General features: G+C 44.7%; 1 protein-coding gene across 9 annotated transcripts in view; it reads left to right on the forward strand.

The window, feature by feature from the left end:
* Positions 1-21,504, forward strand: part of RAD51B (RAD51 paralog B) — an 863,318-nt gene that overhangs the window by 661,064 nt on the left and 180,750 nt on the right. Inside the window, exon 11 of one of the 9 annotated variants that reach the window (NM_002877.6) lies at positions 16,282-17,039. The exons of the other annotated variants lie outside the window; for them this stretch is intronic. Within the exon in view, the coding sequence (NP_002868.1) occupies positions 16,282-16,298 (17 nt within the window). The 3' untranslated portion in view covers positions 16,299-17,039. Of the gene's footprint in view, positions 1-16,281; positions 17,040-21,504 lie in introns of those variants that run through there. 9 annotated transcript variants of the gene reach the window in all.

A 21,504-nucleotide genomic window follows, 5' to 3' on the forward strand; every position in this document is an offset into this window, starting at 1 on the left:
CCAACCAACTTCAGGGGAGGGAACTCAAGAATACGGCTGGACAGAAATGTGGGTTGCACCCTATTTCCAGCTATCCTACCAAGTATTGCCAGCTCTTGGGGGGTTTATTTGTATATTTCTTTTGACTCTCTTTGGGGGTAGTTCTGGATTTGGGAGGGCTGCACTCTCTTTTGAGAACCCCTTCTTAGTCCATGGTGAAGTCATAAAAGGCTCTTTGGTTTTGGTTGAGTCACTTAGTAGGTACTTTCAGTTTAAAACAAGAAAAAGGTAAATGTATATGTTTTTCTCTTGTTAATCTGTGTTTTCTTGTAGTGCTCTCAGCCACGAACCTTGAGATAGGTGAGGAAAATATATTATTTTTCCTCCCTTACATTGAGCAAGATGCTGTCTGTTCTCTGCAACTCCTAATTGTTCTCTCTTCACCTCCATTGTCTGCCACGAAAAAAAAAATGCTACATTGTTCACACATTAAAATGGATCACTCAAAAGTGTCTGAAAAAAGCAAGAGGAAAACATATCCTAATTCCAAATGTCAAAAATTAAGTGGCTCCTCCTTGAGACTACCTTTTTGACCCCAAGAAACAATAAGAGAGTGCCCTATACCCAGTGTTTGACAAACCAATACAGTACTCTCCTGCCCAAGGCCCTCCAGGCCTTCACCACAAACCATGCTGCAGGGACAGGACGTAAGCACTGCCTCTGATATGGAGCACTTGCTGCGTGTCTGACACACACTTTACATACACAATCTTCTCTAATGCTTCCAGTAATCTTACAGGTAGAATTTTGTATTATTCCTTCTCTACAGATGAGGAACTGAAGCAGGAGAGGTTCAGTTTGTCACCAGAAAGGATGAAATGTGGATTTGAACTCAGGCAGTTCTACTCTCTTTTCTCTTTCATCCCTTGCCCTGTAATATTTCTGTTCACAACTCTTATTCATCCTAAGTTCACTAAAGTACTCAGCATAATACTACACACACAATAGTAAAGAACTCAGTGAATATTTTCTAAATAAAAGAATCACCAGGAACAATGCTAGTAGTTTGATCTTCTACTCTGAGCAGTGATGCTCAGAATATAGTAGAGGTTCCATCACTGCCTTATCATGTCACCATTTTTAAGGAGCAGAAGACATGCACAGGAAAGTTGCCCCAGGAAATGTTCACAAGAAAGAAGGACACAGGTAGCATTCTTCCCCGTGAGCTGATAATCTGCCAAGCTGGTACCACCCATGAGATTCTAGTGTGGCATTTTGTATCATTAATTACTTTTACTGAAAGTAATTACTTTTACTGAAAGTAATTAATGATGCAATTCAGAGATATTTTAGGGGTGTGTGTGTGTGTGTGTGTGTATGTGTGTGTGTATCAAAGTTCAACTTTGTCTCCCTAATCCTGCTAGCCTTCTGGCCATTCTATTAAGGTATTGCAGTCCTGGTGAAGATTCAGAAATGTGTGGTCCCCGTCAGCCTACAGGGTGAACATTTTGGATTAACCCAGAGAGCCTTGAACTCTGTGCATAATGTCTTTTAGGTTGTGTGTTGTGAACAAAGCAAAATGACTGCTCAGAGACAGGGTTGTAAAAGTTTGTCCAGCAAAACCAGGATTGCCAAATGAGAATTCTGGAAAGGGAGGATAAGGATTAGGTAATGGGAGAAAAGTGAGTGAAGGCAAGGAGAAGTGCAAAATATCTGATTCTAGCCTAAAAACTGGTCTTGGAACCATTTGGAAGGGTCATTTTTTCCATGTTTTATTTTCAATATCATCACCATCACTTTTATCCTGTGGCTGTGAAAGGACTTTCTTCATTCCACTCCAGAATTCAAAGAGGCTTCTTTTGCACAAATGGAGGGAAGGCACTCATCACACTTCTCAGCCAAACATCCTAAGTGTGAGAGAAAACACACTGCCTACTTCTGAATTTCGGTGAGGGCAGGGTTCAGATGGAACACATATTTTCCAAAACTCCAAATAGATCTGGGAGGAGAGGAAACCATTAAATCACTAGACATAAGTCAGGACACATTTGGTTTTGTTCCCTATCAAACAGTCCCCCCAAATCTCAGTGACTTGCAAAATCCATGCATGTCTGAGACTCTCCAGACAAGCTCTCCATGTGTGACTCAATATTGCACTTCAGTATTAACATGCACTGCCACAGTTGCCACAGTAGGGGAAGGGAAAGGTGGATGGGGGAGAGAGAGAAGAAAGTAAGAAAGAGAGAGAGATTGAGCACTGATAATTAAGTCCTTCCCTCAAAAAATGATATACATTCCTTCTACTCTCCTGGCCATGCAGCCACTCCTAACTTCCAGGAGGCAGGAAGGTACCACTTCCTCCATGTTCTGAAGGAAAGGGGAACTGGATATTGGTGAACACCTGTAATGTTTGGCATGCACAGCTATACCCAGTGGGCTTGCAAATGTTTCCTTCTTCCATATTCACGCTTGTATATACCTTTCCCTCAGATTACCTGGCATACATCAAAGATTTATGGGGTAGTGTTCAGGAAGACCAAACAGTTTTGCAGCCTATTTTAGTCCACAGGTGACCTTTTGAAATAGAGGGGTAGCCAAGAAAGACCAGTTAACTCTGGGTACTTTTCCCCTAGAGCTTTCAGACACAAGTAACTCTGGGAAGGGATAGTGGGTTCAAGGGAGCCATGGCCTGATTTCAATGACACATTCAAGATAGAACAACTAGTTTGAGTGACCCCAGACCATCATGCCTTGTGTGAAAAGACTTTTGGAAATGTGCCCTTCCATTTCCATTCTGCCGCTTGTTACCAGACATGATGCACGTTCCTTCAAAGCCCTGTGACTTTTCCAGAAAGCAGCTCTCCCTGCAAGAGAGAGAAACTTTCCCTTATTATTCTTTCAGTAATGAATTCCTGCTCTGAATGGGCTGCCTCCATGTGTTTTCAGTCAAGTGCTGATGGCAGCCTTGCCTGGGGGCATTTCCAAAGCTGAGGACATAAGAGATGAAGGAGGTCTCATATTGACAAGAGCTGCTTTTGGTTTTCCTTCCAGTTTAGCCCTCCTGAGCCTTGAAATGGGAGATAACAAATGATTCATCAGTTCTTGTTGGTGAACCAACATGACCACCACACCTCTTTGCTCCTTTCAACCAATGAAAAAATCATGTTTTAAAGCTTTCCTCAGAGAGGTTTGTGGACCTGGATTTTGGTGACTTAACAGGGATTTAACTTTCTCAGACCAAACCAGTATTTTGTAGATGCCAAGACTTCCTTTCTTCAGGTCTCAAACATAGACTTCGCGTACCCTGAGGTGATAAGAACAAAGGAGAAATTAGGTCACCCTGTTTCCTGCCTAAAACCTAATCTCAAGTACACAAGCTGCTTCCAAGTAAGCTGTGGTGGTAGGCCATGTTTGCTGAGAGCCAGCCCACTCACTCTCCCTAAAGCAAATGTCTTCAGACAATAATTCAGCTTTCAACCTACCTGCATGAAACTTGTACAAACTTTTAGTTACAGTTGGGCTATTTTCTTTCTTTTTCTTTTTTTTTTTTTTTTGAGACAGAGTTTTGCTCTGTCGCCCAGGCTGGAGTACAGTGGCGCGATCTCAGCTCACTGCAACCTCCGCCTTCCGGGTTCACGCTATTCTCCTGCCTCAGCCTCCCGAGTAGCTGGGACTACAGGCGCCCACCACCACGCCCGGCTAATTTTTTGTATTTTTAGTAGAGACGGAGTTTCACCGTGTTAGCCAGGACGGTCTTGATCTCCTGACCTCGTGATCCACCCGCCTCGGCCTCCCAAAGTGCTGGGATTACAGGCGTGAGCCACCGTGCCTGGCCCAGTTGGGCTATTTTCATTGGGAAGAGGAGTCTCAATTATCTCCGGTAAAAGGGGACACATACTGTTAAGGATATAGGTGGTGCAGAATTGGAAAGCCTTCTGGAGGGGAGGCAGCCCTGGGAATTCATTATCCTGGGGTCTCTGCTTTTCTTTACATGTCTGCCCAGGGCTACTCTCACTCTCCCAGCAGATTTTGTCCTGCATACTATAGTTTATTTACTCAAAACTTCAGTTTGCACATGGCTCACCCTGTGTTTCTCTCTTAGCCTTTCAACTTCAGTTCCCATTGGCTTTTTTCCTTGGTTAAAATTCTGAAGAGAGAATCTGATTAGCTCGGACTTATCTTAGTGTTTTGTCTCAGACAACATCATTGGTCACTGGCTAACCAAACCTTTGTTGGATAAGGAAGTCGCTGAAAACATAGCTGCCCAAGCAGCAGGAGGTGTGGGAAGGCCAGCTTTTCCTAGAGGGGCTGTGAGAGGGCAAGACAGTGATGAACTCCAGGGCATGCTTTACACCCTCTAACTGGACTACTGCAAGCATACTCATTCCCTCTTGCTTCTTGCTCATAACTGTAGACCTGGTCCCCTTACACCCTCACAGCCTAGGCATCTCTTTTCACTGCTCACCTCCAGCCCCTGACTCCAGGATCTTACTTCTCACCCTGTTAAAGTGCCCAGTCACAGAGGTATAGGACTAGTGAGTGGGAAGGAAGAGCTGTTGAGATTTATTTAAGAATATACAGAAGATTAGGGAAGGTGTGTAATGAAAAGAGGAATGAAAATAAAATCCCTCTCTCAGCTAAAGAAAATTGTGTTCCCACCATGGGACCCAGCTACCTTTCCTCCTTCCACCAGTCTTTGGAGTTACTTCCTTTTCAAAAAAAAACAGACATCAGCAGAAGCAAGAGGAGCTTCCATTGAGGAACCCTGACCAAGCAAGTGGGAAGATATTCTCTCTTCATTAACCCCCAAGGTCTTCTCTGTCCCCTGCAAGGATCCCTTGTCCCTATCCCTGATCCTTGCATTTCTCCAGCCCCCACCCTCAGGTCTTGTAAAGTCCAGATTCTTGACTAAGAAGTCCCAAATAACTTTCAAACTAAGATTTTAAAACACAAGTGAAGGACTCGGTTTGGATCAAGTTTTTGCCAATTGTGTTCTTAGTGCCCAAAGCTCTTTATTGGAAGTTATTCACAAATCTTCATGATGGTTTTTGGACGACTAGTCACGTGTGGTGTTGCCCTATTTCAAATGAGTCAGAGAAATTGTGCTTTATATGAATTCATGCATCAACCAGAGGATTAGGGGGAAAACTGAATTGTGGTAGTATGCTTTACCATTTATTCATTAGATACTATTACTTTTGTACCTCATCAGATGGCTAAAAGCCAAACCCAAACCAAATGTATTCAAATTTCAGTCTGCCCATATTATTTTTAGTGGACGTGAGTCTAGGAGTGAAGGAGAGGCTAGTCTAAATGTCTGTGTTTCCTTGCCCTTTCTTGAACTCCGGGTATGTCAAAGGTGATTAAATCATTGGTCAAACTTTGTCCTGTGACTGACACTTTTATCTAGTGACTAGAATTGCAACATTTCCCTAGGAGCCTATGATAGTTTTTCCAAACCTGCTACTGTGGGGTTCTAGTCAGTTCCTCCAGAGCACCTCCAGATCCCTGCCCATTCTATTTAGAATCGGAGGTTTAAGTCTATTGCCACTGGCTGTCCTCTGGGGCCCAGAAACCTATATGGGGTTTGTCCAGCCTCTCATCCCAGCACCATCGTCCAAACCCCACAGTCATTACCAATCTAACAGCTTGAAAGTTGATACAAAGATGAGGCAGAAGCCAGTTTGGCTTTCTCCCAGTTCTCTGTGCCCCTCCGGAGTTAATCAACAACGACCTATCTTTGTGTCAATAACATAAGCCTCTCTAACTAGAACACCTGGTGAAAAGCCGGAGGAAAGCTTAAAATGAAGCAAATTTTGCAGTGATTATTCTGACCCTCACTGTTTAAGCTGGACTCAGGATCTCCAGACAAAAACTGCTTGTTAAACCCAACCAACTAGTTGGATGAACCTTAAGCCACCTTGGGTTTTGCTAATATTTTTCATGCCCACACCTCAACTCCAAAGTCTGTAAACTTTAAGCATCAACTCCCCATTTCAAGCACACAGGGTTTAGTGAGATGGCCTGAGTTCATCTCGCTGGTAGAATTCTTTAGTGGCATCTCCTCATCCCTTTCCCACCCTCAAAGCCCATCCTGATGGTGCGGTCACACCACTGGAGAAACCATAGACCTTCTTAACTGGGATTACCAACACCTTCTCTTAGTACGTATTCACATGGCCTTGGATGTTAGGTGACTGCCTGTTCAGAGAAAGTGGGGAGGGTGAAAGGGAGTGAAAAGGCAGAGGGCACATGGACAACAGTTCCTTGCTGTATTCGTCTGCTCAGGCTGCATAAAAGAATACCACAAACTGCATGGCTTAAAGATCAGAAATGTATTTTCACACGGCTCTGGAGACTGGAAATCCGCAATCCAGGCTCCAGCAGGTTTGGTTTCTCCGGAGGCCTCTCCCCTTGTCTTGCAGGTGGACGTCATCTCTCTGTGTCCTCACATGGCTTGTTCTGTGTGTGTGAGCTCTTAGTGTCTCATTCACTTCTTATAAAGACACTAGTTCTATTGGATTAGAACTAGTATCTTCTTGCTTTTTATTTTCTGTGTATCCATTGTATGTTTTTTGGTTTGAGGTCACCATGAGGCTAGGACCTCATATTTATGACCTTGTTTAACCTTAATTACATCCTTTTGTTTTATTTTTGGTTGTTGATCATGATGTACAATTCATTACTTTTTTTTCTTTTTTTTTTTGAGTTAAGTCTCACTCTGTTGCCCAGGCTGGGGTGCAGTGGCACAATCTTGACTCACTGCAGTCTCCACCTCCCAGGTTCAAGCAATTCTCCTGCCTCAGCCTCCCGAGTAGCTGGGACTACAAGCATGTGCCACCACACCTGGTTAATTTTTGTATTTTTAGTAAAGATGGGGTTTTGCAATGTTAGCCAGGCTGGTCTTGAACTCCTGACCAGAGGTAATCTGCCTGACTGGGCCTCTCAAAGTGTTGGATTACAGGTGTGAGCCACCATGCCTGCTCATTAATTACCTTCTTTTAAAGGCCTTATCTCCAAATACAATCTCACTGGAGGTTAGCACTTCACATATGAATTTTGAGGGGACACAGCTCAGTTCATAACACCTACCATAACTGTTTTCCTCACAGAACATCCCTTATCCTCTGATCTTGCCCTTCTTATCTGATTGGGAAAAAAGTAGATGCTGGCCAAGAAATGCAAGTATGACTATGCAGTTTGAGAATTGCTAAGCTAGGTGGGGAGGGTGCATGAGACAGGAAGAATGAAAACGTGGGTGGATGGATACATGAATGGATGGTTATTACATGGAAAGACAAATGAATGAATAAATGGCTTTGGCAGTGTGTTGATGGCACCAGGACAGAAATTACGTTCTGTTTCTTTAGGGTTTGTCTTTTTTTTTTTTTTTTTTTTTTCAATAATACAGGGCTTACAAACTCAAATGTGCATGCCAGACAGGTAAAAAGAGTTGCAAAAAGAGGCCAGGTGCAATAATAGGCAGTTGTAGGGACTGACAGATTAGAGAGAGCCTACCGTATATAAAGGGGCACCAGTTACTGACAAAGACTCTCATTCTGACCAAACTTGAGTCAGGCTCCTCTGAGTCCTCTTTCTGACTAGGCCCCAACCTTGGGCTCTGTCCTTGGCTTGCTTAGTCCAGTTTTAGCAAGAATCCTGCTAAGTCAATTGAGTGAAAATTCCCCACCCTTTGTATTTGATCACCCTCAGTACCTAATCAAATTCCTCAGCCCCCACCCTTAATACCCTATCACCCTTGCCTGCCTTCAGTAAGAATCCTGCCATGTCAGTTTAGCGGGAATCCCCCTAGCCTTGGTGTTTCTTCTTAGTAATTTTTCATCCACTGACATCCACCCTGCTCTTTGGCTACACATTATCACTTTTCCTTGTTGTATTCGGAGTTGAGCCCATCTCTCTCCAAGGCTGCAAAACCCCATTGCAGTGTTCCTTCTTGAATAATGTCTTACTTAAAGTCTTTAACAACTGTCATGAAAAATTTCTCTTTCACAGTCTCAGCTCTAGACAATTGTTATCTTGTGGGATGCTGACCTCATGTTGCCAGAATGTCGGATTTTACAAGGGAAGCCAGAAATCTGGGTTTTCAGATAAATTTTTTCACTATTTTTATTTTATTTATTTATTTTTTGAGATGGAGTTTCACTCTTGTTGCCCAAGGCGGAGTGCAATGGCGCAATCTCAGCTCACCACAACCTCCACCTCCCAGGTTCAAGCAATTCTCCTGCCTCAGCCTCCCAAGTAGCTGGGATTACAGGCGCACGCCACCACGCCTGGCTAACTTTTTTTTTTTTTATTAAATTTTTCTTTAAATCTTGAAATTCAAAAATTATAAAATATTGTATAAGCCAAATGAATGCTCTTGTAGTCCGAATGCACCCTGGAGGCTGCCAGATTTCAACTCTTGGGATGCTAGAAAGGCATCTGTAATGTTATCACATGAAGATATAGATGCTTGTGAGTTTAGGCTCATGAGTAGACTGCCTGGGTTCATACTGCAATCCACCACTTACTAGCTTTGTGATCTCAGGCAATTATGCATATAATTCTTAGAGTTATTATAAGGTTAAAATTATTTAATGCATGTAAGTACCTAGAACAATGCCTGCTGCCTAGTAAGAAAGCAGTAACTGTGAGCTGGTATTATTAGCTAGTATCATGAAATCTCTTGGTTTCCAATAATACCATTTCTGTAAAATGGGGGAAACCCACTTGCCTTTTTTACCCCCTAAAGGCTTGTTGTGCAAGTAAAAGAACAACTGTGAAAGAGCTTGAAAAAGTAGACACATTGCTAAGAAATACACCAGGCATTTCTATGTTCCTATTCCCACAGATGAGGCACAGCCTTTCCCAGTGCAGGGCTGGGACTCTGTAGGAAGAGGAAAATAGCAGTAACTAGAACCAGTCCTTTATTCTTCTCAGGGTCATTTGCTGTTTTGTTGTTCTTAGAATTTGGTGAGTTTTTCTTTTTCTTTCTTTTTTCAATTATGATAAATTTCAACATTCAGAAAAGTAAAGAAAATAATATAATGAACACCCAAATGCCCTTATCTAGATTTCCTAATTATTACATTTGGCAGATGTGCTTCACTTGGTGAGTTTTCCTGGCAGATATATGTGAATGGAACATGCAGAGATGTGGTAGAGAAGTGGGGAGAATTGCAGAATAAAGACAGACTGGGAAGCTGAGAGCCGTAACTACCGCAGCCTCTACTTATTTTTTAAACTTGTAAGATCCAATCAAGTGTGGATGGTTGCCTTTTGGATAGGACCCTGGAGAAGGGACTTCTGTGCAGAATGGTTTGTTATGGAGAATACATTGTTAGCACCTTAAAGAAAGTAATATAAATGGGATAACAGAAATGATTTTATTATTTATGTGATTTTAATTTATTTTTAAAGTATCAATTCTTTTGCAAAGAGAATATATTCATGTATTGCTTATGTCATTGAAAATTAAAAATTTCTAGAGAGACTTTCAATGTGGAAATGTCTCTGCCATGAAGAACTCAGGGGTTGAAACTTGTGGATCTGAGAGAAGTCTGATAAAATCAGTGATTTAAAAAATGTTGGTCACTAAAATTGAAAGGTTTTAAAGGCAGAAACACTCCGATTCAAAGAAAGTATATGCTAATTATAAGTGATTCGTTTCTGGTAGATTATTTGAAAAGATTCTCTAAGACATATTGCCCCATTTCTCAACATCAACTATTACTGCATTTAAATGCTAACTCTTCTCTCTGGAAAGGATGTCTTAACAACATGAAAGCAACTAAACTTTGCTTTAAAATTCTATTATTCAGACTCCACATTAATTTAAGCTGACACTCCTTCTCAATTGGGGCAAATCATCAAAGCTTTATTGTATTGAGAACCTTGAATTCAGCAACAAAGAGCGTGGGGTATGGAGGGAAAACGTTGAGAGGGGAAGGGTGGAGAGCTCCCAAGGCCAAAAGAAGGGAGGGGCAGGGAGGAACACTGCAGGAAGGACAGCAGAGAGAAAGATGGACCTTGGAGAGGCCAAGGGGAGAGCGGGGAGTTAGAAAAAGGCTGAGATAAGCAATGGGAGGCCTCCTCAGAGGGGCCTTACACTGTCAAACTGCCCCTGGAGCCTCTGCTCATTAACATGGTAGAAGCAAAACTAGCCTACAACTTTGTAGTCACAAATTTTTCTCCAGAGTTATGGATAAAAAGGGAGCTAGGAGATAGAGAAAGGGAAAACATTCCCTTTCTTCCTACATTTGGATGCCTCTCCAATGTCCTTCCTAAGGCACCCTGCCCAGTGGCCAGTGCCTGCCAGTAAGCCCACTCCACAGACCCTGAGGCCTGGAGCCCCAGCCCTGGTCATGGATTAGTGCCTGGCCAAGTTGCACTCCAACCCCAGGCCCGCAGCCGCCCTTCCTCCTCCTTTCTGTTGTGATTGACTCTGAGATATATGATGTGGGATATACTAGGTGCAACGCATCATGTTCGTTATTGAGGCATAAGGTAAGGAAGGATCTTTTGAAATGTGAGGACATCATCCACAAACTGTCACTGACCATTTACGATTTATAACTAGAATGTAATAAGATTTATAAGATGCACTTTAAAGCCTAAAAGAAAACTGAGTTTTTTCAACATGTAACAACATGTAATAAATATTAATTTCAAAAACCAAAGTAGCCCCAGTTGGTCTTTTCTCTACACCAAAACAATCCTCAAGGATGCATGAAAGCCCATGGACACTGTGGAGCAGACAGCTCCTAGTGTCCAGAAACCCGTCTTAGTCCAAGTGGGGGGGCACTGCAAGAATTCAGTCCCCAGCCTACCACCTTCCAGCTCTGGGCCCTCAGAGAATGCCCATAGCCTTCCCGAGTCCCAATTCCCCAGTTTGTAAAATGGGAATAGAAATAATCTGCCTAATCTTCATGCCAGGGGGCCTGTGAAGATGACAGGGTAGATAAATGATTGGTTTTCCAACCTTCATGGAAGGCCTAAGCCTGAGTCTATGACCTCCTCTCCAGTTTTAAGACATAAATCAGATCATGCCATTCGTCTGCTCAAAACTCTCAAGTAACGCTTTTTCACTCAGAGTGAAAGTGGAGTCCTTCCACAGGCCTAGAAAGCCCCACCGATTCCAGCGGCACCTGCTTCTTCGCCTCTCACAGCTCCTCGCTTGCTCACCTGTTGCAGCCACACTGCCTCCTAGCTGAACCCTCTCACAGGCAGGCTTTCACCTTAGAGCCTTTGCACTTCTGAACCCTTGCTGGAACCCTTTTCTCCAGAGTACCATAGCTGACTCCCTCACCTCCTTTCCTCACATAATGGATGACTCCCTCACCTTTAAGTTTTTGCTAAAATATCACCTTCTCTATGAGACTGACCCACTTAAAATTGCAACCCGCTCTGCTTACCCCCATCCTGCTCTACTTATATTTTCCCAAAGTACTTATCGCTATACAAGGTAATAAATAATCAATAGCTCACAATGTTTACCCTTCATTCTGTGTCTTCTCTGCTACCATATAAGCCCTGGAGGGCAGCCGTCTTTGATTTATTCATTTTTTTCTTAAGCACCTAGAGCAGTGTCAGGTATATTAATGACCTGCAATAAATAGGTTGGATCTTTCTTAGAAGTCCAGGATATAACATCAATAAAAGAAGGGCTGCTACAACTGAAGGGATTTGTGAGCTCAAAATCCCTCCTGCTATCTCTCTACGAGCAAGTGCAAAAACTGCTGACATTTGTTCTTGTGTGTGAAACCAGTTTTGAAGTTACAAATTGCTACTTGATGTCAGGTCCAAGGGCCTACACAATAGCTTGCACATAGCAGGTGCCTAGTGGTACAGATTATAAGGGGAAGGGAAGTAACATTTGTTGAGCAGCTACCAAATGATAGGCAGTGTCTGTGCCTAGTGAACTATAGAAGTGATTTCATGAAACTGTCAACCCTTCTACCATTGTCTCTCCAGGACCTCATACCAAGCCTGGCATGTATTAAGTACTCAGTAAATGCCTGCTTATTTCCCTAACAACCCTCTGAGGCAAGTACCATTATCCCCATCTTGGAAGGGCCCAAGATTCAGATTTAGATAGCTTGCTTAATGTCATACAGCTCGTGATCAGAGCCAGGATTTAAATTCTTCTCAGACAAGCTGCAGCCTCTCTGATCCTTTGAGAGAATGTACATTAGCATCCCTCCGAGCTTCCCTGAAGCAGAGCTGTCTCCCAGCGACACCGGAGATGAGGGGAGGGGTCTCTTTCTCCACCTGGACTCACTTCCTCCCTTTGTGCATTTGGCTCACCTGGAGGGGTCCCCTGCTACCTTTTGATTAATGGGTCTGCCCTTCCCATCCCCCCGGCCGAATGACCCCAGAGTTAGCTGCAGTTCATCTTGAATCATAAATCAAGTTCTCAAAGACATTGCAGCTTTGTGCTCAAAATCTCACTAGAATTCACATTCTTTGTGAAAGGCATTTGCTTATGAGTAGAATGATGGATTCATCAAGTCTCTCCTTTTAAGAAAAATCTGGATGGTATCTGCTGGTTTCTCCCTGCTCCCTCCAAGAAAAAAACAGCCCTAGTTACTCAATTTCATGTAGTTAGAATTCCCCCAAGGACCTCATACTCAGCTTCCACCCTGGCCATACTAAAGAAGAGCCCCAATCATGTTGCCATTTTACATAGATAGAAATCATTTGCAACTTGCACATTTGTTGTGCTTTCCATATACCCACGATTAGCTCGGATTTTATTTTTTAGCCATTGCTGAAGTGTCACGCGTCAGCTATTTACACTGTATGGGGACAAAACAACCTAATGTATGTCCCAGACCTATTTTATAGAAGCCGAGAGGCAGCCTCTGAGTCTCCGGTTCCCAGAACTCTAGCCCTGGGAGAAAGCATATCCATAAATCTCCCAATGCTTTATGCCAGGTTAGAATTTCTCTTGGGAATTTTGGAGTTTGTATAAGAGTTGCCTCTAAAGGCAATTGATGAACTATAGATGTCAGGCGGGTTTTCATTTTCTGTGTGCTTTTTATTTCATCTAGAACCAACAGTGGCCTTTAGAATTGGATTCTTTTCAGAGACTCTCTCTATAGGTTTCATGTTCAAAGGCTCCAGGTTGGAGGAGCTCGAGGTTCAGCTGAGTGTCAGAAATGACCAATTCTGGCTGGACGCAGTGGCTCATGCCTGTAATCCCAGCACTATGGGAGGCCGAGGGAGGCGGATCAGTTGAGGTCAGGAGTTTGAGACCAGCCTGGCCAACATGGTGAAACCCTGTCTCTACTAAAAATACAAAAAAAAATTATCTGGGCATGGTGGCACATGCCTGTAATCCCAGCTACTCAGGAGACTGAGGCAGGAGAATCCCTTGAACCTGGGAGGCAGAGGTTGTAGTGAGCTGAGGTCACGCCATTGCACTCCAGCCTGGGCGACAGAGTGAGATTCCGTCTCAAAAAAAAAAAAAAAAAAATGACCAATTTCACCAGTACTGCTCTATTAGAAAAAGGGTGGGGGTAGTTCTTCGGTTTTGTGACTATCCTGTGTACTGGAGGACATTTGTACTTGCAGCCTCATCCAGAAAATGCCAGGAGCATTCCCCGAGGCACTCTAACAGTCAGAGGTGTCTGTGGGCAATACTCCAAGCACCCCCGGTTGAAAACACCAACAAGGCTATCTCTGAAAGACGGTGAACTGGGGCAGCACCACTAAGTTTCACCATCAGTGAGGCGTCAGTCTAGATGGGCACTTTCTTTCCACTGTAAGCTGCTTCCTATTCTTGTTGCCTTTGATGATCTTTGTTTGCCTTCAAGTCGGGTTTGTTACATTTGTTTTCATCTCCAATTCCTGCCATATAAAAATGAGGGCAGTGAGAAAGAGAAAGGAAATACTGAAATTTTCCCTCGGACTATAGCCTCCCAAGAAGGGTCGTGTTCTCTGGAATGACTTTTAACTCTTTATCCAGTTAATGATCGGGAAAGTTTACTAGATGTAGGTTCCCAAGCCCAGCAAGCAGAGTATGTGATAAGAGATAGAAACAGGGACAGAAAAAAATGGATCCATCAGGACCCAGACATTGGGGTGCAACCAGTGGGTCTTCTCCAGCTCCACAGCGCATCAGTTCTGACTCGCTTGTAGATTCCTGAGTACTGCTCATCTGCCCTACAAGGCATAGTGGGTTTTCTCTGATTTCTAGAAATGTCAGCATTCTCTGCAAGGTGAACGGCCAGAGTCGGGATCTTCTATTCAGGCAGAGATTATATAACTCCCTGGGCCCTGGAAGAGCATGACTGTCTACCAGGAACCATCCAGAGAGGCTGTCAGATGAATCAGCATCTGTTCATGCCCTGCCTTGCTTCTCCTGGGCATGACTGCCTCACATGCCAACACCCAGGCTTACAGGTCAACTATTCCAACCCTGCATCCTGCCCACCCCACTTGCTGGGGAGTGCTCTCTACAGCTCTCAGTGCATCCTGTTTGTTCAGACCCCTTTGTCTTCCACTGGCGCAACCGAGAGAGGATTCCTCCGAGCCCCTTTGCTTTTGGCTTTGAAATCAGATCCTGGCACACCTGATTATACTCAATAGCTGGAAATGGTAAGGATGTCCGATGGCAGAGAGCTCTTGTTTTAAGTTCTGCATGCCAGGAAGGCAGGGGGCTGGGTCTCCTTCTCAGGGCTAGGCTGGAGGGGCAGGATGCTCTAGCGGAGGAAGCAGTGTTAACTTGAAGGGAAACGCAGTTGAAAAGGAACTCGAAGCACGGGCTGCCAAGCGCGTAGAAGTGGTAACTGACGACACACTGTGGGGCTCAGACCCCTTCCTCTCTGCTCATATGCCCCTAGATGGGAAACATTCAGTTCCTGCTCAAGGGAACCAGGAGAATCAAACCTGTCTGTCCTGCTTTTTCTGTAGAAGTGTCAGCTCTGAGGCCTTGACTAGGTGGAATAAATAGTGACTTACCTCTTAACCACAGTGAAAAACCCATCAAGCATTTGGATATTAAGGGCTGCCCCTGTGTTCTCAAGGGACCCTCAGCCTCAGACACTGCCTCCTTTCAAGCAAAGATGCTGCCCTAACACGCAAGTCCAGTGGCTTTAAGAGTCATTATGAAAATTTCACACAAAAAGGCACAAAGAGCATCCATGTACCGAAACCCAGCTTAAGAAATGAAATGTTACTGATGCAATTAAAGCCGCCTTTGTCCTTTTGGTCCCATCCTTCCATCCTGCCTTCCCCCAGCAGTAACCACTCAGTCATTGACAAACAGTGTGTCAAACATGCACAAACGGTGATGTGTCCATCCCTCTTTGGAATTACTTAACCTTTTTGAACCTCAGTGTATTCATCGGTAAAAGGGGGCTACTGACAGGATGAAGGAAAATGATTTATGACAAATATTTGGCTGTTGTTCCTATAAAAAGGAAAAAGTCACCGGAAAAAATGGGTCAAATGTAAGACCCTTTCCAGCCTGGCCCCAACTTGCCCCGGCAGCCTCCTCTCCTCTTGTAGCCATATTCCCTCCTCTCCTCTCTGCAGCAGTGTTCCCCAGATATGCCACCTGTGTCCATGCCTCTGGGCCAATGTGGATGCTGTGCTTACTTGCCTGTAATGCTGGTCTCCTGTCACCATCTTCCTTTAACACTGGGGTCCACTGTCCCCACCTCTGACAGGGCCCAGATGCAGTGACTCCTTGGTGCTCCCATGGCCTGATACCTCTGTCTGAGCACTTGCCGTATGGCTGTGATGTTCCTGGTATGTCTGCCTGGCTTTTTCACTGAGCTGCTTATGCAGCAAGGCAGGGATGGGGTCTTCTCCATCCAGTGGCCTGGCCTATTGCCTTCTGGCGCATGGCAGGACCATATGCAGTGAATGAATGAATTCCATTAAGAACATTCGTGATTCATAGGAGGAGGTCAAAATATCAACATTAACAGGAGCTTGGAAGAAGCTGATTTCCACCCTCATGAATGACTTCAAGGGTTCAGGTGCATGAGTAAATGACAGTTCCATCAACAGACTACAACTTTCTGCCCTAGTTAACACAGGGCATCTCCATGTCCCCAGTTCTCCCTATGGGCATTTTTCTCTTTGAAATTCCAAATCTTTTCTGTTCTAGAAGCACGAAACTACAAGTTCTCTCTCAACTCTTCAAATGAGGTTGGAACAAACAGAATGGGGGCATGAACTTTTTTCCCCATAACTTCAATAAACAACAGTTTTAGCCTCAGTAGGCTTTATGCAAGCCTTCAACATCTTTTTCTAGGTATCTTGACACTCATGTTCTTTTTCTTCTTGCAGCCTATGGAAATTCCTAGAGACAGATAAATGTGCAAACCTGTTCATCTTGCCAAGAAAAATCCGCTTTTCTGCCACAGAAACAAAATATTGGGAAAGAGTCTTGTGGTGAAACACCCATCGTTCTCTGCTAAAACATTTGGTTGCTACTGTGTAGACTCAGCTTAAGTCATGGAATTCTAGAGGATGTATCTCACAAGTAGGATCAAGAACAAGCCCAACAGTAATCTGCATCATAAGCTGATTTGATACCATGGCACTGACAATGGGCACTGATTTGATACCATGGCACTGACAATGGGCACACAGGGAACAGGAAATGGGAATGAGAGCAAGGGTTGGGTTGTGTTCGTGGAACACATAGGTTTTTTTTTTTTAACTTTCTCTTTCTAAAATATTTCATTTTGATGGAGGTGAAATTTATATAAGATGAAATTAACCATTTTAAAGTAAACAATTCCGTGGCAACTAGATATCATGATGTGCAACCAGCATCTCTGTCTAGTTCCAAATATTTTCATCACCCCAAAAGCAAGACCCATAACCATTATGCAAGTGTTCCTATTTCCCCCTCCTCCCAGCTCCTGGAAACCCACCAATCTACTTTGTTGCTATGGCTTTACCTATTCTGGATATTTCATATAAATGGAATCATATAGTGTCTGTCTTCTTTCACTAGTATGTTTTCAAGTCTCCTCCATGGTGTAGCGTGCATCAGTACTTCATTCTTTTTATGGCTGAATAATATTGCATTGTCAGGATATACTGCATTTTGTTCATTCATTCATCCGTCAGTGGTCATTTGGGCTGGTTCCACCCTTCAACTATTGTGAATATTGTACTGCTATGAACTTGCATACACATGTATTTATTTGAAACCTATTTTCAATTTTTTAAGGTATGTACCTAGGAGTGGATTTACTTGACATATGGTGATTCTATGTTTAACTTTTTGAAGAACTGCAATACTATTCTCCACATGGCTGAATCATTTTGTATTTCCATCAGCAATGTATGAGCACAGGTCAGATTTTTTGGGAGTCACATTTTAAAGTGGCACAAGACCCTTCTAGAGGGCTCTGTTCCATGCACACAAAACTCATAGTCTCCACGTGAAGACACAAATTTTTCACAAACATGCAGGCAGAGAAAGGAGAGAAAGTGGACCCTCAGCAGACAAGTTGAAAGATGGTTCAGAGAAGCAGTGGACTTCACCCATCATCTTGCTGTGCTCTCCATAGCTAAGCAAGGGGCAGACTGGAGATTCCACTGGCTACTTTGTCTTATTTTCACTTCTTTCCAGTTAGTCCCCACTACTCTACCCTTTCCACAGGACTGTAGGGTTACGGTGACTTTCCTACCCCTAGCCAGGTTCCAGTGGTGGGGGACTCTGTGAATATAGGATCTAGTGTTCAGAGCTCCCAGATTTGTGCAGACTGAACTCTACACATGCTACTTGTCAACATCTGTGAGCCAGAAATAGGAGGAACACCTTTAAAAAGAAACCTACAAACACAAAGTTATTCATAGATGCTCTTGAAGGGCAAAGCAGGGCCACCACCAGAGCCCCATGCAATTAGACTCATCAGAGGGAAAGGGCATAACACTGGCTTTTTTCTTAAAACCACCTGGAAGGAGCTGAGACGTATACTAAATGTATATAGAAGTATTATTTGATTGGAAGAAACAAAAAATGCATTGTATTATAATCTGTCTTCCCTTGCCGTCTGGTAGCTTAACTGTCAGCAATTTTGGAGGAAAGCCCTTCCCAGCAGGGGACTGGGAACCCCTGGGCAATGTCTTTCCTATGACACATGGATCTCTATGGTTGAATAAGGGGCTGAAGGAGGAAATAGACAACAGGGGTCAGAGAGCAAGGCTAGAGGAGGCCTTTGAGAAAAGAGAGTTGTGCCCCCTTTTCAGTGAGTGTGGGGCCTCTGGAGGTTGGCAAGAAGAGGAGAAGGTGAAGGGTTTCAGCACTGAGAGAATGATGTTTCTGGTGGGGCTTTGCCAGAAGGGGGCTCATCACATGTGAGTTTTTGCACTCGTAAGCCTAAGGGGCACAATGGGTTTTGAAATCCCAACATATCCAACTAAGAACAGGAAGCCCTGGGACTCAGCACAGACTTGAGTCCCCCATTGGATGCAATGTTTCTTACTAAGCGGAAAGAACTTGTTTTCACTCCCTGCCAATGAGTAAAGAATGAAGAGCTAGATTTTTCTTTGAAGGTGGTGGATCATGACCCCTCCTTGAGACTAAGCAAAGAAGCACTGATGTTACCATGGAGAGGAGTGAGCCCCTCACCCACCCCAGGTGAGAGGTCTTATCCTGACTTTTTAGTCATAATCCAATGTGATATTTTGCAGGGTTAGTGGATGCAGTAGGTTAAATGGTGGCTCCCAAAAAGATACGTCCATGTCCTTACCCCCAGAACGTGTAAATATGGCCTGATTTGTATAAACGGTCTTTGCAGAGGTAATTAAGGATGTTGAGATGAGATCATCCTGAACTACCCAGGTGGGCCCTAAATCTAATGACAAGCATCCTGATAAGAGACACAGAGGAGGACAGTCACAAAGAGGAGGAGGCAGTGTGACTACGGAGGCAGAGACTGGAGTTAAGCAGCCCCAAGCCAAGGAACACCTGGAGCCACCGGAATCTGGAAGAGGCGAGGAAGAGGTCTCCCCAAGAGCCTTCAGAGGGAGCCTGGCCCTGCAGACACCTTGATGTGGGGCTTCTGGCTGCCAGGACTATAGAGAATACATTTCTGTGGTTTTAGGCCACTCTGTTTGTGACACTTTGTTGCTGCAGCCCTAGAAAACTAATGCAGTCAGGTTGCCCAGAGAGATGAAATGACTGGAGAGAGAGAGAATCTGGTCGTCTAGAAAACTGAGTTCAGCCCCTGGACTTGCTGCTGGGGTCTGAGGTGAACTTTCCTAAACGTTGTGCTGTGGAGTCTCTTCCCTCTTGCGTTCCTCATACATTAACTTCTCATGGCAGAGATCGGAGCTCATGGTTCACCTGAGGACACTACTAAGGACCAAGGAAGTTCAATCAGATCCTCACATCTATTTGAAATAGTGGTAGTAATAATGACCACACTCTATAGAATGTTTAACATGTGCTAAGTATGTCACATACATTATCCCATTTAATCCTCGAAACAATCCTACATGGTTGCTATTCTCATCCCCATCTTACAGATGAGGAAACTGAGGCTCTGGGAGGTAATGGAATCTGCTCAAGGTCATTTGGCAAATGCTGGTGGAGCCAGACCTTGGCCCCAGGTTTGCCTGTGCTTAAGCCACAGTATTACAGAAGGCTCAAGACCCACAGAGATGGTCGGGCCAGCAGCCCGTAGCACCCAGCTGTCAGATGAGAAAGGATTTATTTATTGATGTATGTATTTTACTAGCAGCACTGGCATTAGAGTTTCTTTGTCAGTGAGGGTTGGAGTGATGGGTTGATTGAAATGAAGGTTGCTGAGATGACCTGGTGGGTCCTGCTAACAGCAGATGGATGTCAAAACATTTGCATTCAGGGGGAGATAAAGTCAAAACTGGGACAAATCAACTTTCTCTCAGCTCCAGGGCTCTAAGGTCCTTTCTTCGCTCTCAGCCTTGTTGGGAAAAGAGAAGAACCCCCTGCCACATGGTCTCTCTGGTGTGAGAAGCTGACAGTCCACTGCTGAGCTTTCCCTGCTTTGCCACAAATAGAGGCACCTCCCCACACAACTCCCTCTCCTGCTGGAATGGGAAGAGAGGACACTGGCTGTTAAGAAGAGCTCTGGGGATCTCCTGTCCTGGGGCAAACTCAGTTTCTGGAGTCCCCTCTTATAGGGCTAAACCCAGGTGGGCTCTGACTGTTTGGGGTCCCTGTGCCTCTCACAGTCATGTTTTCAGAGTTTTGGGAGATCTGGGCTGGTTTCCCTCTTGCCATGGTTCATGCTGGGGTGTGGCCAACATGGCAGCATCTCCCCTGCCCTCCCAGATTTCAGGTTGGAGGGAGTTCGGCTTCAGAGAGACAATCCACAGGCCTGCAGATTTCCTCCCATGCAGACCTCAGTGCAAGATAAAGTCAGGCAAGGCTGTGCCACAGCACAACAGCATAATAAATCCCCCTCTGGCCTCCTCCCAGACTTATTGTTCTATTGCAGTTGTTTTGAATATGATCAAAAGGAAGGAAGAGACTATGCTATCAGACTGAGGAAGAAGGATGCTCTCCTGACCGCTCCTGTTGCCCTTGGCCACCTTATTTTAAATATGAGGAAACCAAAGGGCAACGTGCAGCCTAACCCCATCCACATCATGAGGAGTGATGAGCTGCAGCCAAGGCCCCATGGAGCTTTGGTGAGGCAGCAACCCCTGTGCAAACTCGCTGACAGCTACCTTAGATGTCCAGCCCTGTCCTTTTACACACCATGGGGGGCTGGAAGGCCCAAGCACAGGGTCAGCAGCACTTTGAGGCTGGAGCCGGAAGTAGGCCCTGGAGCAGCTGAGGTAGCTGATGTTAACCCCTTGGACTGAGAACTAAGGCTGTAAGGCCACAACCGTTGGAAATAATGGGCCAGAACAGGAACTGCCCAAGCTCAGCTGGCCCGGTGCCCACTTCTCAAGATAGTGAATGGCTCAAGTTCTTTGGAAATGTTGTCAATGTCAGGGCTTTGGCCTTGCCTATGTGCAGCCCAGGTTCAGGCACAGGCATGGGGTGGGCTGTGACATCGGCCACCACTGCTGGATTCCTGCAAGGAACTAGAGCAGAAAGCAGCGACTTGCCTTAGCCTTCAAAGGTAGAAAGGGCGGAGCCGAGTGTTCCTCTTCACAGACTTGCAGGCTCACACAGTCCTCTGCCCTGCCCAATGCCCAGATGCTGATTCGCCAGGTGCCTGGCTGCCACAGCCCGGTCACCTTTATCTGGGCTGGAAGGCCACGTCTGAGCCATCAAAGGAGCCTCAATGGGAGGGGACGTCAATGTGCTTCCTCAACCAGAAAGGTGGTTTGAGTTTGGCCAAAGCAGCCCAACCAAATAAGTAAAAGCCTGTCAATGGAAAGATGGGGGCTGCTGGGAGATCACACGACAACAGAATGAGAACCATTATCAGTCTCATCCCAGCCTGAAGGAGGGAGAGCCTTTGAAGCCACAGACAGGCTGAACAGAACTTTCCACCTGAGAGACGCTGGAGATGGGAGGTCAGGCTGCACTCAGCCCCTACGAAAACTGATCAA

Source organism: Homo sapiens, chromosome 14 (assembly GCF_000001405.40).
Source record: "Homo sapiens chromosome 14, GRCh38.p14 Primary Assembly".
Classification (NCBI taxonomy): domain Eukaryota; kingdom Metazoa; phylum Chordata; class Mammalia; order Primates; family Hominidae; genus Homo; species Homo sapiens.